Below are 14,085 nucleotides of genomic sequence, written 5' to 3' on the forward strand. Positions count from 1 at the left end.
CCAGGCTGGTCTCAAACTCCTGACCTCGTGATCTGCCTGCCTCGGCTTCCCAAAGTGCTGGGATTATAGGCGTGAGCCATGGCGCCCAGCCCTGGCTGCGTATTTTCAAATAGCCTGTCTTCAAGGTCACTAATTTTCTTTTGCTTGATCAGTTCTGCTGTGGAGAGACTCTGATGCATTCCTCAGTATGTCAGTTGAAAGTTTCAGCTCCAGAATTTCTGCTTGATTTAAAAAAATTATTTCAATCTTTTTGTTAAATTTATCTGATAGGTTTCAAATTCATTCTCTTTAATTTTGTTGAGCCTCCTCAAAACAGCTATTTTGAATCCTCTCTCTGAAAGGTCACATATCTCTGGGAGTGGTCTCTGATGCCTTATGTAGTTCATTTGGTGAGGTCGTGTTTTCCTGGATGGTCTTGATACTTCTGGATGTTTATTGGTGTCTGGGCATTGCAGAGTTAGGTGTTTATTATGGTCTTCACAATCTGGGCTTGTTTGTACCTATCCTTCTTGGGAATGCTTTCCAAGTTTTGGAAGGGACTTGGGCATTGTGACCTAAGTCTTTGTTCACTGTAGCCATGTTTGCATTGGGAAGCATCCCAAGCCCAGTTATGCCGTGGCTCTTGCAGACTTGTAGAGTCACCACCTTGGTTGTCTTGGGTAAGATCCAGAAGAATTCTCTGGGTTAGCAAGCAGAAACTCTTGTTCTCTTCCCTTACTTTCCCCCAAACAAATGGAGTCTCTCTGTGCTGAGCTGCCTGGAGCTGGGGAAGGGATAACATAGTCACCCCTGTGGCCACCACTGCTGGGACTGTGCTGAGTCAGACTCGAAGCCAGCATAACAATGGGTCTTGATTGAAGCTCATGGTGACCACTGCCTGGCTGCCACTTACGTTTGCTCAAGGCCCAAGGGCTCTACAATCAGCAGGTGGTGAATCTAGTCAGGCTTCTGTCCTTCCCATTAGGGTGGGGTGAGTTCTCCCCTAGCTGTCTGGGAGCCAGAGCCAGGAGTTGGGAAACTTACAAATTTACCTGGTGCTCTCTATTCTACTGCAGCTAAGCTGGCACCGAAGCTGTAAGACAAAATCCCTCCCAGTCTTCCCTTTCCTCAAACAGAGAACTGTTTCCTTGTGGCCACAGCTGCCCTAGGCCCACAGGGACTACTGTCTTCCAGCCACCAGTGTTCACTCAAGGTTCAGTGTATTAGTCCACTTTCATGCTGCTGATAAAGACATACCTGAGACTGGGCAATTTACAAAAGAAAGAGGTTTAATTGGATTTACAGTTCCACGTGGCTGGGGAAGACTCACAATTATGGTGGAAGGCAAGGAGGAGCAAGTCCTGTCTTACACGGATGGCAGCAGGCAAAGAGAGAATGAGGAAGACGCAAAAGTGGAAACCTCTGATAAAACCATCAGATCTCGTGAGACTTATTCACTACCAGGAGAACAGTATGGGGGAAACTGCTCCCCATGATTCAATTATCTCCCACTGGGTCCCTCCCACAACACGTGGGAATTATAGGAGTATTTGTGTGGGGACACAGCCAAACCATATCTAACTCAGCTTGTGGTGAGATTTGGGTGGGGACACAGCCAAGCCATATCACTCAGTTAGCTTGTGGTGAATGCTGTCAGGACTTAGTCTCTCCTTCAGGACAGTGGGCTTCCCTCTGGCCCAGAGCAGGTCCAGAAATGCCATCTAGGAGCCAAGGCCTGGAATTGGGGACATCAGGAGGCTGCTTGGTATTCTATCCCACTGTAGCTGAGCTGGTACCCAAGCTGCAAGACAAAGTTCTCTTTACTCTTTTCTCTCCTTTCCTTGAGTAAGAGTTTCTCCGCATAGCCACCACAGCTCAGAATGTGCTGGGTCACATCTGAGGCCAACATGGCTCTGAGTCTCACTCAAGGCCCTCAGTAAGTACTGTTTGGCTACCACTGTTGACTATTTGGGGCCCAAGGGCTGTCTACTAAGCAGGCAATGCATCCTGCTAGGACTGGGTCTTTCCATTCAAGGCAGCAGGTTCCTATCTGGCCCAGGGTGTATCTGGAAATGTCAGCTGGGAGCTAGGGCCTGGAATGGCAACCTCATGACTCTGCTTGGTGCCCTATTCTAGTATGGCTAAGCTGATACCCAAGTTGCAAGACAAAGTCCTCTTCACTGTCTACTCTCCTCTCCTCAAACAGAGGGAAGAAGTGTCTCCCCGACCTGTGAGCTGTACTGCTTGTAGTTGAGGAGGGGTAATGCAAGCATTCCTTTGGTTGCCCCAGGTGGTGTCTCACTAGGTTGTGTGCCCTCTAAGTCCACTGGCTCCAAGCCCATCCTAGCACAGCACCAGGACTTGTCTAGGAATTTTAGTCCTTGTGGCTTAGATTCCCTTTCAAGTTTATTGAGGTCCCCAGAGCACTTTAGCCCATGGTGGTAGGGCTTGCTGGAACTCAGGTTCCAGTTGCTGGGGTGGGCAATTTCCCTATGGTTAGGACTGGTCTAGCTGCTCCCTCTGTGGGTACAGACTGAGTTCTGTCCTGTCTTGCTTTCTCCTATGACAGGACAGCACTGAGTTTCAGTGCAGAGTCCCATAATAATCACTGTGCTGTCCCTCCCCCAGGCATACAGATTCTCTTTCCATGGCATGTGACTGCTGCTGGCAGGGGAGGGAGGGTAGCGTAGGCATTTCAAGACTATCTTTCCTACCCTCTTCAGTGCCTCTTTTATTAATATGATGTTAAAACCAGGTACTGTGATCGTTCACCTGATTTTTGATTTTTATGGAGGTGCTTTTTTGTGTGGATAGTTGTTCAATTTGGCATTGCTACCGGGAGCGGGGGGGGGATGATCACTGGAGGCTTCTGTTTGGCCATCTTCCTCTGCCTCCCTCCTCTCTAATTGTATTTTTATACCCACTAATCAACCTCTTTTCATCCGCTCCCCACCTCAACACTTCCCGGACTCCGATAACCATCATTCTACTCTATCTCTGTTAGATCAACTTTTTTAGCTGCCACAGATGAGTGAGATGATGTGATATTTGTCTTTCTGTGTCTGACTTATTTCACTTAACATAATAACCTCCAGCTCCATCCATGTTGCTGCCAATGACAGGATTTTATTCTTTATGGCGGAATAGTATTCTATTATGTATCTGTGCCACATTTTCTTTATCCATTCATCCATTGCTGGCACTTAGGTTGATTTCATATTTTGCTATTGTGAATAGTTCTGCAATAAACATGAGCATGTATGCAGATATCTCTTGAATATACTGATTTCCTTTCTTTTGGATGTATAAACCAACAGTAGAACTGCTGGATCATATGGTAAATCTGTTTTTAGTTTTTTGAGGAACTTAAATGTTCTTGGTGGCTGTGTCAAAAATCAGTTAATACATGGATTTATTTCTGGATTCCCTATTGTGTTCCGTTTGTCTATGTGTCTGTTTTTTTATTAGTGCCATGCTGTGTTGGTTGCTCTAGCTTTTTGGTATATTTTTAATTCAGGTAGTGTGATGCCTCCTAGTTGTTATTATTGTCATATCTAACATAGCAGTTGAATAGCTTATTGGCAGTTGTATCTGGCACAGTAATACCTTTCTTAGTTTATTCTTTGCTCAGTCATACTTTTCCTGGTATGTATTCCTTGGGGCTTTAATAATGGTTTTTTCCCTCAAAACAGATGTGTCATGTGTCGTTTTCCCATTGAGACTACCTGGCATTTTTAGTCTCATCCTTTGTTCAGACTATGAACACTCTTTGATAAACAGCCTGTGGTAGAAGTATCAGATCTTACTAGTCCTAAGTATTATGATATGGAAACACCCTGTCTTCCTGTCCTCCTCCTGTCTGTCCCCAAAATTACACCTCTGTAAGAACTTAGTCATTTTACTTGGAGGACAACTTGTTGAACTTTCCTCAATTTAGTGAATTTACTGCAATTCTTATCTAAACTACAATTTATCTCTTTCCTTTGTACTCCCAACCTATCATTACAGTAGTCATTGTAAAAAAAAAAAAAAAACAACAACAACAACAACAACTGGGTGTTTATTCTTTTTGGCTGCCCAGTAGATGAGCTCCCTAGTTATATTAGGGGAATTCCATACCTCACAGTGTTTTGTGAGAAACAGTGTAACTACTACATGTTTTCCCCCAGCCCTCACACAGCCTATACCCAGACAGAATTGGGAGAAAAATGCATACTGTTCAAGCTTACCTCTCTCCAGATTTGAGGATAAAAATTACAGCAGTGTGGAATTGGAGTGGCTCAGCTGGCCAGGGTGGGGAGGGGAGTGGTGATAGTAGCCATAACTTGCCTCTCCAAACTCTAGAGTTTTTCTCATTGATACCACATTCTGGTTCTGAATTTTGACTTGAGATTGAATCCCTTACATTGGCTGCTGGCAGTGATTACCAAAAATATTTTTTTGATTCCTCTTACTAAAATTGGGGAAGAGAGAGTCTGTGATCTAGCTGAATGCTCTTGTATTCCAAGCCTCTGAAAGCTACAGCTGTCCTTAGTTCCTTACCTTGTAGATTTCTGTGCTGAGAGACTTACTCTTTCTTAACCATCCCAAGAGCACTATAGTACTTTATGGCAGGAACCCCACTGGTGAGGCCCTTTATCATAGCCTTTTCAGTCAAAAGACTTCCTCACTCTTCTTTATGGTCATTTTATACATTGTAGCCACTGTTGGAATCTTTGGTTTTAATGAAATCAAAACTATCAGTTTTTAGAAAGATTATAATTCTCTGATAGTAAATTTACCACTGTAATATCTGTTTAGATATTACAAGTGAGTTCTTGTAATATTACAAGATATTACAAGTGATCAAGTGAGTTCTTTTAAGTTACATTTTTGAGTCTAACCTAAGAGTTAAGAGAAGTTTTCCTTAGTATTTGTTGAAGTCAATTGACCATGTTAATTTAGGCCAATTAATGGCATTGAGGTATTTACAAAATATAAGTCTACAGACTATTCATGATTTATCTTACCAGTTTCTTTCTTATTTATCCCAATTACCAAAGCCATGTTTTGTTCATTGTGGAAAAATTTGGTAAGTACAGAGAAATATATTTTTTTAAAAAAACAAGGTGGGTCTCCAAATTGATCTGCAGATTAAATGCAGTCCCTGTCAAAATTCTTGATGCCATTTTTTTTTTTTTTTACTGAAATCGATAAGATGATTCTAAAATTCCCATGGAAATGACTCAGAATAGTCAAAACAATCTTGAAAAAGAACATTGATGTATTCACATTTCCTGATTTTTAAACTTAGTATAAAGCTACTGTAACCAACATGGTATGCAACTAGAATAATGATAGGCATATACAGGTTAATGGGATGGAATTGAGAGTCCAGAAATAAACTGTAACATTTATGGCCAATTGTTTTTTGACAAAGGTGCCAAGATAATATAATAGTGGGGGAAAATAATCTTTTCAACAAATGATCCTGGAACAGCTTGATTTCCTCATGCAAAAGGATGAATTTGGACCCCTCTCTTATACCAAAATTAACAAAACTGGATTGAAGACTTACATCTAAGAGCAAAACTATAAACTCTTAGAAGAACTACATAGATGTAAATCTTCATGACGTAGGATTGGTCAGTGGTTTCCTAGATATGCCATCCAAAGTACAAGCAAACAAAGGAAAAAATGATGCGTTAGGCTTCCTTAAAATCAAAAACTTAGGTGCTTCAAAGGACTTTTTCAAGACAGTGAAAAGCCGGCCCACAGAATGGGAGAAAATATTTGCAAATCATATACCTGATAAGCATCTAATAGCTAGAATATACTAAGAACTCTTACAACTCAATAATAAAAAGACAAGCAACTAAATTTAAAAAATGAGCAAAAGAAATGAATAGATATTTCTCCAAAGAAGATAACAGATGGCTAATAAGAACATGAAAAGATGTTTAACATCATTAGTCATGAGGGAAATGCAAATCAAAGCTTCGTGATATACCATCATGCCTGCTAGGAGTCCTGTAATAAAAAAGATGGACAATAAAAAGTGTTGGCGAGGATGTAGAGAAATTGGAACCTCATACATTGCAGGTGGGAATGTAAAGTGTTGAAGCTGCTTTGCAGTTTCACAAGTGTTTAAACACAGAGTTACCATATGACCCAGCAATTCCCTTCTAGATAGATACACCCGAGATAAATGAAAACATATGTCCATGGAGAAACTTGTACACAAATATTCATTGCAGTCAAAAAGTGGCAACTTTGTTTCTTATAATAGCCAAAAGTAGAAACTTCTAAATGTCTATCAATTGATGAATCCTTAAACAGAATGTAATATATACATAAAATTGAATATTATTCAACCATAAAAAGAAATGAAGTACTGATGCTTACAACACAATGGACACACCTTGGAAACATGGGCTGAGTTTGAAAAACCAGACACAGAGGCCACGTATTGTATGATTCCATTAAAATGACATGTTCAGAATAGGCAAATCCATAGAGACAGAGAGTAGATTAGAGGTTGCCAGGGGCAAGTGGGAGCAGGGATGGGGAGTGACTGTTAATGGGTATGAGGTTTCTCTTGGGGTTGATGAAAATGTTTTGGACTTCAGTAGTGGTGACGGTTGTACAATCTTGTGGATATACTAAAAAACACGGAATTGTATACTTTAAAAGGATGAATTTTAGGGTATGCGAATTACATCTCAATTTAAAAACTCAACAGAAGATACCTCAGATCCCACTGCCTATGGACAACCACAACTGACATCAATTGAGCATTTTAGAAAATGCCTAATGCCAGGCACCTAAGCCCTTTTGATACCTTCTCATTCATTCCTCACTATAGCTTTGTGAATATTCTGTCAGAACTGGAACTCCTGACTTCTTCCTTGGTGTTCTTTCCACTAATTCGCTCTGCCTGTTTTACACAGAATTTTGGGTAAAGAGAGAAGATGCTAATTTGGAATATCATTAAAATAATATTTTACAAAGTTGGGTGCTTTACTCAAACACACAGTTGACCAAAAAATATTTGTGATTTGGTTCAGGTAACACTCAGCACTCAAGCTTAAAGCAAAAACTTGAGAAATGGATTAAATCTCCGAAGTTTGTCTTTAGTGTCAAGGGGTTTATAGTAATTTTTTTTCCAGAGATAGTAAGAAAAAAAACAAGTAAAATTAGAAACTCCCCTTACGTATCTGTTTATCTTGGCCTGGATTAACACGGCTAGAAAAGCTGGTTGTATTTTGTTTTCACAAAATATGCTGTGTTTCATTTCTATTCTATGCAACCAGAGTCTTTAAAGTAGACAGCATCAAGAAAACACGTAAGCATGAAAAACCTTGTTAGCGTGGTTAAGTTAGTTAATTTTATGCTCTTAACATTTTAGAGCAACCAAGCATAGGTTCAGAGGTTTTCTCCTGTGTGTTCCTTTATTGATTAATGTTTGTTCCTTATTAGCGAACATTTAAAAACCTTTACTACTCCTTGCAAAAACAAAACTTGTTTTTTTTTTTTTGTTAAAAGAGAATTAGTCATACTTTTTAATGACATTGATGTGAAAATATCGTATTTTAAAAATCTGTGTTTTAAACATCTTGAATCTAAGATATTGGTGCCGTGGCTTTAGTCTTTCATCATATAATTTAAGAAAATGTATTTTCTTTGAAAAATTATTTCCAGAAACTTACGAATAGCTTGGTCCTGACTGAGTAGTTTTCATCATAGTGCAGTTAAGTCCTGCTGTTTAAGGCCTTATGGATTCTGATCGAAACAAACTTGCTTTTAGTAAATAAATAGCACCGAGATATGAAAGTCCAAGTAAATGGCAAAGTGAATTCTTTCTTTCCCAGAAAAATGCTCTCAAAAATTTGATTTTAGTATAAGTAACACTTTTACTTAGATATCATAAACTCATTATGATTTTACTGTAGATAGACTCAGCCCGAATTCTAAATTCTATGAGGGTAGAGACTGTTTTTGTCATTACTGTAATCCCAGAGTTTATCCTCATTCCTTGTACAAAAAATGTTTGTTATATCATTATATATTTGTAATTATGTATATTTTTATATAGTATTTTGTAATATACCCCCCATTAACTGTAACATTCTGAATTGATAACATTGTGTGTAATAACTTTTCTTAATGTTTTTGTCTTTCTCTGTAGGTTGGTATTTTGTATGGCATCTTTTTTTATCAAAATTCAAGTTTCTCCGGGAACTGGTGGGAGACACAGGATCCCAAGAGGGAGATCATGAGCCTTCAGGGTCTGAAACTGAAGAAGACACTTCCTCCTCTCCACACAGAATCAGATCCGCTCGCCAAAGGAGGGCACCTGCTGATGAAGGCCACAGACCCCTGACATAGTCCTGTACTTGTGAAGGATGAAAAGGCAGTTGCCAGCTTCTGTCTTTTACTGACTTCGCTTTGAAATTTACTAATGACTGAAGAACATTTGTATTGGATTTTAAGTCGAATTTTAAAAAAGATTTACATGTAAGCCATATAAAAATAAAGGGAACTGAAACCAAATTGGACTATTATAAATTTCATCTTAAAGATAATCTTTTGTTTCACCAGCTTTCTACTTATACACTTATTCCTTGGCTTTTGGGCTTATTTTCTTGCACTGGTGCAGATCTGGTAAACATTAAAGGCTTGAAAAACCATATTTTGTTAGCCCTAAAATGTACATTTTTCTTCCCATTTTAACTTATCTGAAATTGGGATGCATCTCATTACTGTCAACCAGGTGATAGTCATGTAACGCTCCTACCGTGTGCATGTGTGAATTTACAGCTTGTCATCGTGTCATCCCTTTAACCAACATGTGTTTTGTTGGTATCAAATGTGTCAGGTTTAATTGACATTTTAAAATGTCTTCAAAAAGATCACACTATGATTCAGCATTGAAACGAAAAGTTATTGTGTATGCAGAAAAGCATGGAAACAGAGCAGCAGGGCGTACATTTGATATTAGTGAAGCAAATATTCGTCGCTGGAGAAATGATCGCAATTCCATATTTTCCTGCAAAGCAACAACAAAATGTTTTACGGGACCTAAGAAAGGTAGGTACCCACAAGTAGATGAAGCTGTACTACGTTTCGTCAGTGAGACACGTGCAAAAGGATTGCCTATCACACGCCAAGCAATGCAATTGAAGGCAGGAGAAGTTGCCAAAACCCTAGGAATTGATGAAACAAAATTCAAAGCCACAAGAGGCTGGTGTGACCGATTCATGCGTCGAGCAGGACTATCATTAAGGCATCAAACATCGTTTTGTCCCAAGCTCCCCACTGCCATTAAACAGAAGACAGTGTTGGAGCACTCTTTCAAGAAGTGCTGCATAACCAGTACTCTTGACAACACCGGGAGAGACGTTCTGTGGAAAAATGCAGACATCAATGACTGTGGTTTGAAAAGTGATTCAGAAGAGTTGGATTCAGAATATGAAGTTATAATTATAACTTAACCAATTTATTTCACACATTTTCTTTACATATGCACAAGATTGATGTGATAAAAATCTGTTTAACTCAAAGCGCTGTTTCAATAAATATAAACATTTTCTGTGATATGAAAGCATTGTGTCATAGTTTAATGGGCAGTGTTTTTTCTTAGTGATACATATGGTGCATCTTAACAATTGGTAGTGTCTTAGGTTAAATTAAAAATGGTAGCTTGTAAATTTATTTTTCTTTTTAAGATAGCAGTTATTTATTGGGGAATTTGATTCTGACTCTTACAATGTTAAACTTGTAATCCTGTGTGAAACACATGTTTTTGGGGGGGAGGGGGTAACCAAGATTTCAGGGTAGTAACTTAGGAATCTAAGAACTATCTTCTACTTTAGGAAGAGTGGGATTAGTTACTCCCTTTGTATAGGAGGACTTTATGCTCAAGGAATGTGTTGTGGAGAAAAACACTTCTTCACAAACAATTCAGTGACAAGACCTCAAAGGTAATGCGTATTGAGGAAAACAGTAGTGGGTGAAAATTCCCGCTTAGCTGTAAAATGACTCTCTTGCCAGGTTTCCGTGTTTGTCTCAACTGAACTCTGGGCTGAGTGTTTACCAGGGAGAAGAGATGTGAATTAAACAACCTTCCTGTTTAGTGTTACCTGCTTTGTACAAGAATGAAGTGCAAAGCCAACTTACTTTATTAATCCAAGTTCTTTTTATGTTTTTCTTAACCTTTATTAAGGACTAGTCATCACAAAATATCTATTTAACCTCTATTTTATGATGGTGTGTTATTATGTTTGATACCTCATACTTCTTGCTTAGAGTTTTGTTTAACAGTTCACTGGCTCTGTCCCAATGTTTGTGATGAACACCTTTTTGCTATATTGTAGCTCTTGGAGATACTAAAAGAGAATTCACAGAACATAACTTTAGTTTTATGTGTTTGCTAGGGGAAGATTTCCTAGCAGCTGAGAGCAAGGCACAGTCTCTGTCTTCATTTCTTTATTAGATACAATTTTCTATTTTTATGTGACTCTAGGGCATAACAAAACAGTGACAGTTTCAAGCGTTAATTTTAATGCTTCCTACTAGCTAAATATCATCTTAAAATGATTATCAGAAAAAAAAATAATGCCCCCAAAAACTTTTGGGGGCATTATTTGGTACTGGGAGGATATTTAAATTAGATTTTTCATAGTCTATTGTTTTGAACTATGGATTCTGTTTTATGGTGGATACCTAAGGTTTATATAATAGTTGCTGGAAAACTTAAAGTAGCTGGTGAGCTTCCTGTTATGTCACTATTAAAGAATGATGGCTGATGTAACTCTGCCCCTGAAATCTACAAGGGTCATGCCCAAATTAATACAGGTTAACCTTTGTAGAGGTATATATGTTGGCATTATTTATTGACATTTATGCTTCAAGCATGTCTTATTTTATGTAATTTTAAGAAATACTCTATTTAACTTGTGAAATATACCTAAAAGCATACTAGTTAGCTCTTAGACTCTCACTTAGGGAGGGTAAAGAAACATCACTGATGCCAATATGAAGATCTATAAACAAATCCTTTGTTTAGAACTTTTTTCTCTTCGTGCACCTCACAACACACTTACCATGGTACATATTTCTTAATGCCACTAAGAAAGGCAAGATAGTGAACGCAGAATTATTTATGTGGTATAGTGTTTGTTTTCCTGTTTTAGTGCTTTTGTAGCTAAAACTTACTGGAACTGCATCACAACTACATTTGCAGTCTCAGTGGGAGGTGGACTAGCCTGTGGTTAATTTTAGAGCTTAAAAGTTTATAAGCATTAAAAACACATACATGTATTAGAATCTTGTCTAACCCCTCACAAAGGATGATGGTGATCAGCATGCCATCTTTTGAAGATTAATTCTAAAATTGAGGACTCTGGTAGGTTGTTTTATTTCCTTCCCAACCAGCCATTCATTTCCAATTGTTCTGCCTTTGAAACTTTTTGTGAAAATTGCCTGTACCAATTGCATTGGTTGCGTTGCTCTGATTTAAATGCCAAAAACACTAAATATTTGTGTAGTGCTGTTAAATGAGGTTTTTGATATTTCCATCAAAATGAATATAAAATTCACTTGATGGATTTTGTAGTGATGTTTTCACAGTTGAAACAAACATATTGCTGTGCGGTGGACAGCCACTTCACAGACATGCAGACCCATTTCTTTAGAGATATTAGGTTTAAAACCCATTTTAATTTTATTTTGCTGAAGGTTTGGAATATATAAAGTAATGGATTCACAAAATATGATATCTTAAAACATGTTGAAAGATTTGAAAGTGGTGCATTTTTACTTTTAAGAGCAGCAATCTTTGAAATTAGTCAACAATGCAGTCTTTTTTAAAAGTCAGTTTTCTCAAGTAGTATGTTGTAACGTAAGATGTAACTGATATAACTAGATTTTGACTGGTAAACTTAAAGTGCTTTTTATATTTGAGGTTGACTTTAAAAAGCCATTGAGCAGTCCTCAGAGGTTATGGACTCTCAAGCGACTAATGGAATAGTGTTCTGTTGTGAAGTCTAGAACTAAAGCACCTTGTATTGTCTGCTTCTAAAGTGTCCTATAGTTTTTAACTTAAAGTGTAAAGAGTAACATTTTATCTTATGTCAATTAAAGTTACATTTTTCATTTGTTGGTGTACATGTGCTACCTGTTTTATGGGGAATGTTTAACACGATCCTCCAAGTTGGTTCTATGCATAACCATTCACCAAATACTGCTGCTGTGATTCCTTGAAGGAAATATTCTGTGGTCTGCTATGATGCATTGCCATCTTGCTGCTTGACAATAGGTTTATAAATAATTAGAATTACGTGTTTTAATAGTACCTTTGTATATATAACAAGATGTAAAATTAAAGATGAGGAATGTGTGTAAATGATCATTCACTGTTTTTGTTTTAAAACTGGTCAGTACTATGAAGCTTCTGTGGTTTGTATGATGTTTTAACTTTCACTTTAAACTGCATAGAATAAATTAAATTGAAAACAACAAAAGTTATGTGTCTCTGGTTGATAAAGGATAATAAGTATGAAGGGTGCCTTGGACATGAAGGGATTTGAAAGCAGCCATTCTTACTAATGGTCCACACTTCACCCCATTTTTCAAATGAAAAGTCTAGAAGAATTAAGAGAATAGCAATAATATTTCTTAGTGCCATGAAAGTAAATGACTTAGGACATATATATAGCATTAAAGGACACACAGACACACACACACACATATAGTGTTAGAGCTACATTATTACATTTACCTTATTGTTTTCTTCCCATGCTGTATTCAACACCCTCAAGGTTGTTTTGTTAACCTGTTTGCCACAGATCATGTTTCACATTTTTGTTAGTATTAACCACCAGGAAGATTGAAGAAACTCATCAAAGCCAAGTAAAAAGATGGAGGAGTTTCTTTGAGAATGCAATTGAGAAAGAAAACCATGAATTTCATTGGCTGGGGCAAGTTGTGACTTCTCCAGGAGTGCTCAGCTGCCAAGAATGTAGGATGGGAAGAAGTGGATTGTGCTAGGGTTGGATTTTGCAAGGCAGGTGTGTCTGAAGGGCAGGGTCATTAGAGATTGCTGGAGATTGGCCCTGGAATTTGGGCTGCGTCATGAGAGAAGTTGGATCAGTAAGGCACTGGTAAACTGGATGAAAGGAAAGGGATAGGGAATTGAAGATAAAATGAATGTGACGTGTATGATAAGTTTGGGATGGAAATTAGGTGAAGTAGTTCTGAGTGATGACACTAAATACAGCCATAGAAAAGGGGAATCTGAGAACAGTGACTCATTTTAAGCATATGATGTGAGCCTCAGAATGGCCACTAATATTTTCCACATGATGGCTACAGTTGGAATGGAGAAGGTAACTATGACTTGGGGGCCATGTCAGGGACTTGGAAGACTTATCTTAAGGTCTGTTATGTCTGGTGGCTCTTAAAAGGAGGAGGGAACTTCCTGAAAATGGAAGAGGAATGTTCTGGGGGAGCTTCGAGAATGCTCTTTCCTCATCCTGGCCTCCCACCCCCTGGGCATCTCTACAAGTGCATTAGTTTATCTTGTGTAAGTAATTCAGCTGGATTGTAAGAATGATGCTGTTTACAAAGAACTTTGTGGGGGTTAGAGGAGGAAGGAGGGAAGGACAGCAAAAGCTTCACTAAGAATCTTGAAGAAAGGAGTTGGAGTTTTCCAAGTAGAGGATGAGGATTCTAGATAAAAGAATGTGCACAGGCAGTGTCATGGGAAGGTGCCTTGCTTGGAGAACTATAGATAGTTGGTCATTCCTGAAATAGAGAATGCACGTGTCCGGGGGTGGGGGTGGGGGTCCACTGTTTTGACAATAGAGATGTACAGTCTAGGTCACAAAAAGACTTTGTGTGCAGTGGCAAAGGCTTTGAAGTTCATGTCATATGGGACAGAGACTACTAAACTATTTTAAACAGAGAGCACTGATTTGCTTATTTAACATATGTTGAGTAGTCGACTAATCTTCCAGGCATCTGCACTAGTTGCTCGTGCTAACTGCAAGGAGGAGGACTGGTTGGAGGCACGATGGAAACAGGATGTCTCTTAACTGGTCCAAGCAAGAAAACAAAACTAATGGC

General features: G+C 38.5%; 1 protein-coding gene across 1 annotated transcript in view, besides 4 other annotated features; it reads left to right on the top strand.

The window, feature by feature from the left end:
* SMIM13 (small integral membrane protein 13) overlaps positions 1–12,477 on the top strand; it is a 44,900-nt gene extending 32,423 nt beyond the window's left edge. Inside the window, exon 2 of the mRNA NM_001135575.2 lies at positions 8,147–12,477. Within this exon, the coding sequence (NP_001129047.1) occupies positions 8,147–8,346 (200 nt within the window). The 3' untranslated portion in view covers positions 8,347–12,477. The remainder of the gene's footprint in view (positions 1–8,146) is intronic.
* Positions 450–951: an enhancer, noted in NCBI's record as "NANOG-H3K27ac hESC enhancer chr6:11126939-11127440 (GRCh37/hg19 assembly coordinates)". NCBI's record gives its function as "activates a minimal SCP1, AML or CMV promoter by ChIP-STARR-seq in naive H9 embryonic stem cells {active_cell/tissue: H9 hESC(naive)}" and the evidence as "EXISTENCE:reporter gene assay evidence [ECO:0000049][PMID:30033119]".
* Positions 450–976: a biological region, named in NCBI's record as "NANOG-H3K27ac hESC enhancer GRCh37_chr6:11126939-11127440".
* Positions 640–934: a silencer, noted in NCBI's record as "tiled region #3750; K562 Repressive non-DNase unmatched - State 16:ElonW". NCBI's record gives its function as "represses a minimal TATA promoter and a strong SV40 promoter by Sharpr-MPRA in K562 cells {active_cell/tissue: K562}" and the evidence as "EXISTENCE:reporter gene assay evidence [ECO:0000049][PMID:27701403]".
* Positions 776–976: a silencer, noted in NCBI's record as "peak5657 fragment used in MPRA reporter construct". NCBI's record gives its function as "represses an SCP1 promoter by STARR-seq MPRAs in K562 erythroleukemia cells {active_cell/tissue: K562}" and the evidence as "EXISTENCE:reporter gene assay evidence [ECO:0000049][PMID:32103011]".
* Positions 12,478–14,085: the final 1,608 nt, after the last annotated feature.

This window comes from Homo sapiens, chromosome 6 (assembly GCF_000001405.40).
Source record: "Homo sapiens chromosome 6, GRCh38.p14 Primary Assembly".
Taxonomy (NCBI): Eukaryota; Metazoa; Chordata; class Mammalia; order Primates; family Hominidae; genus Homo; species Homo sapiens.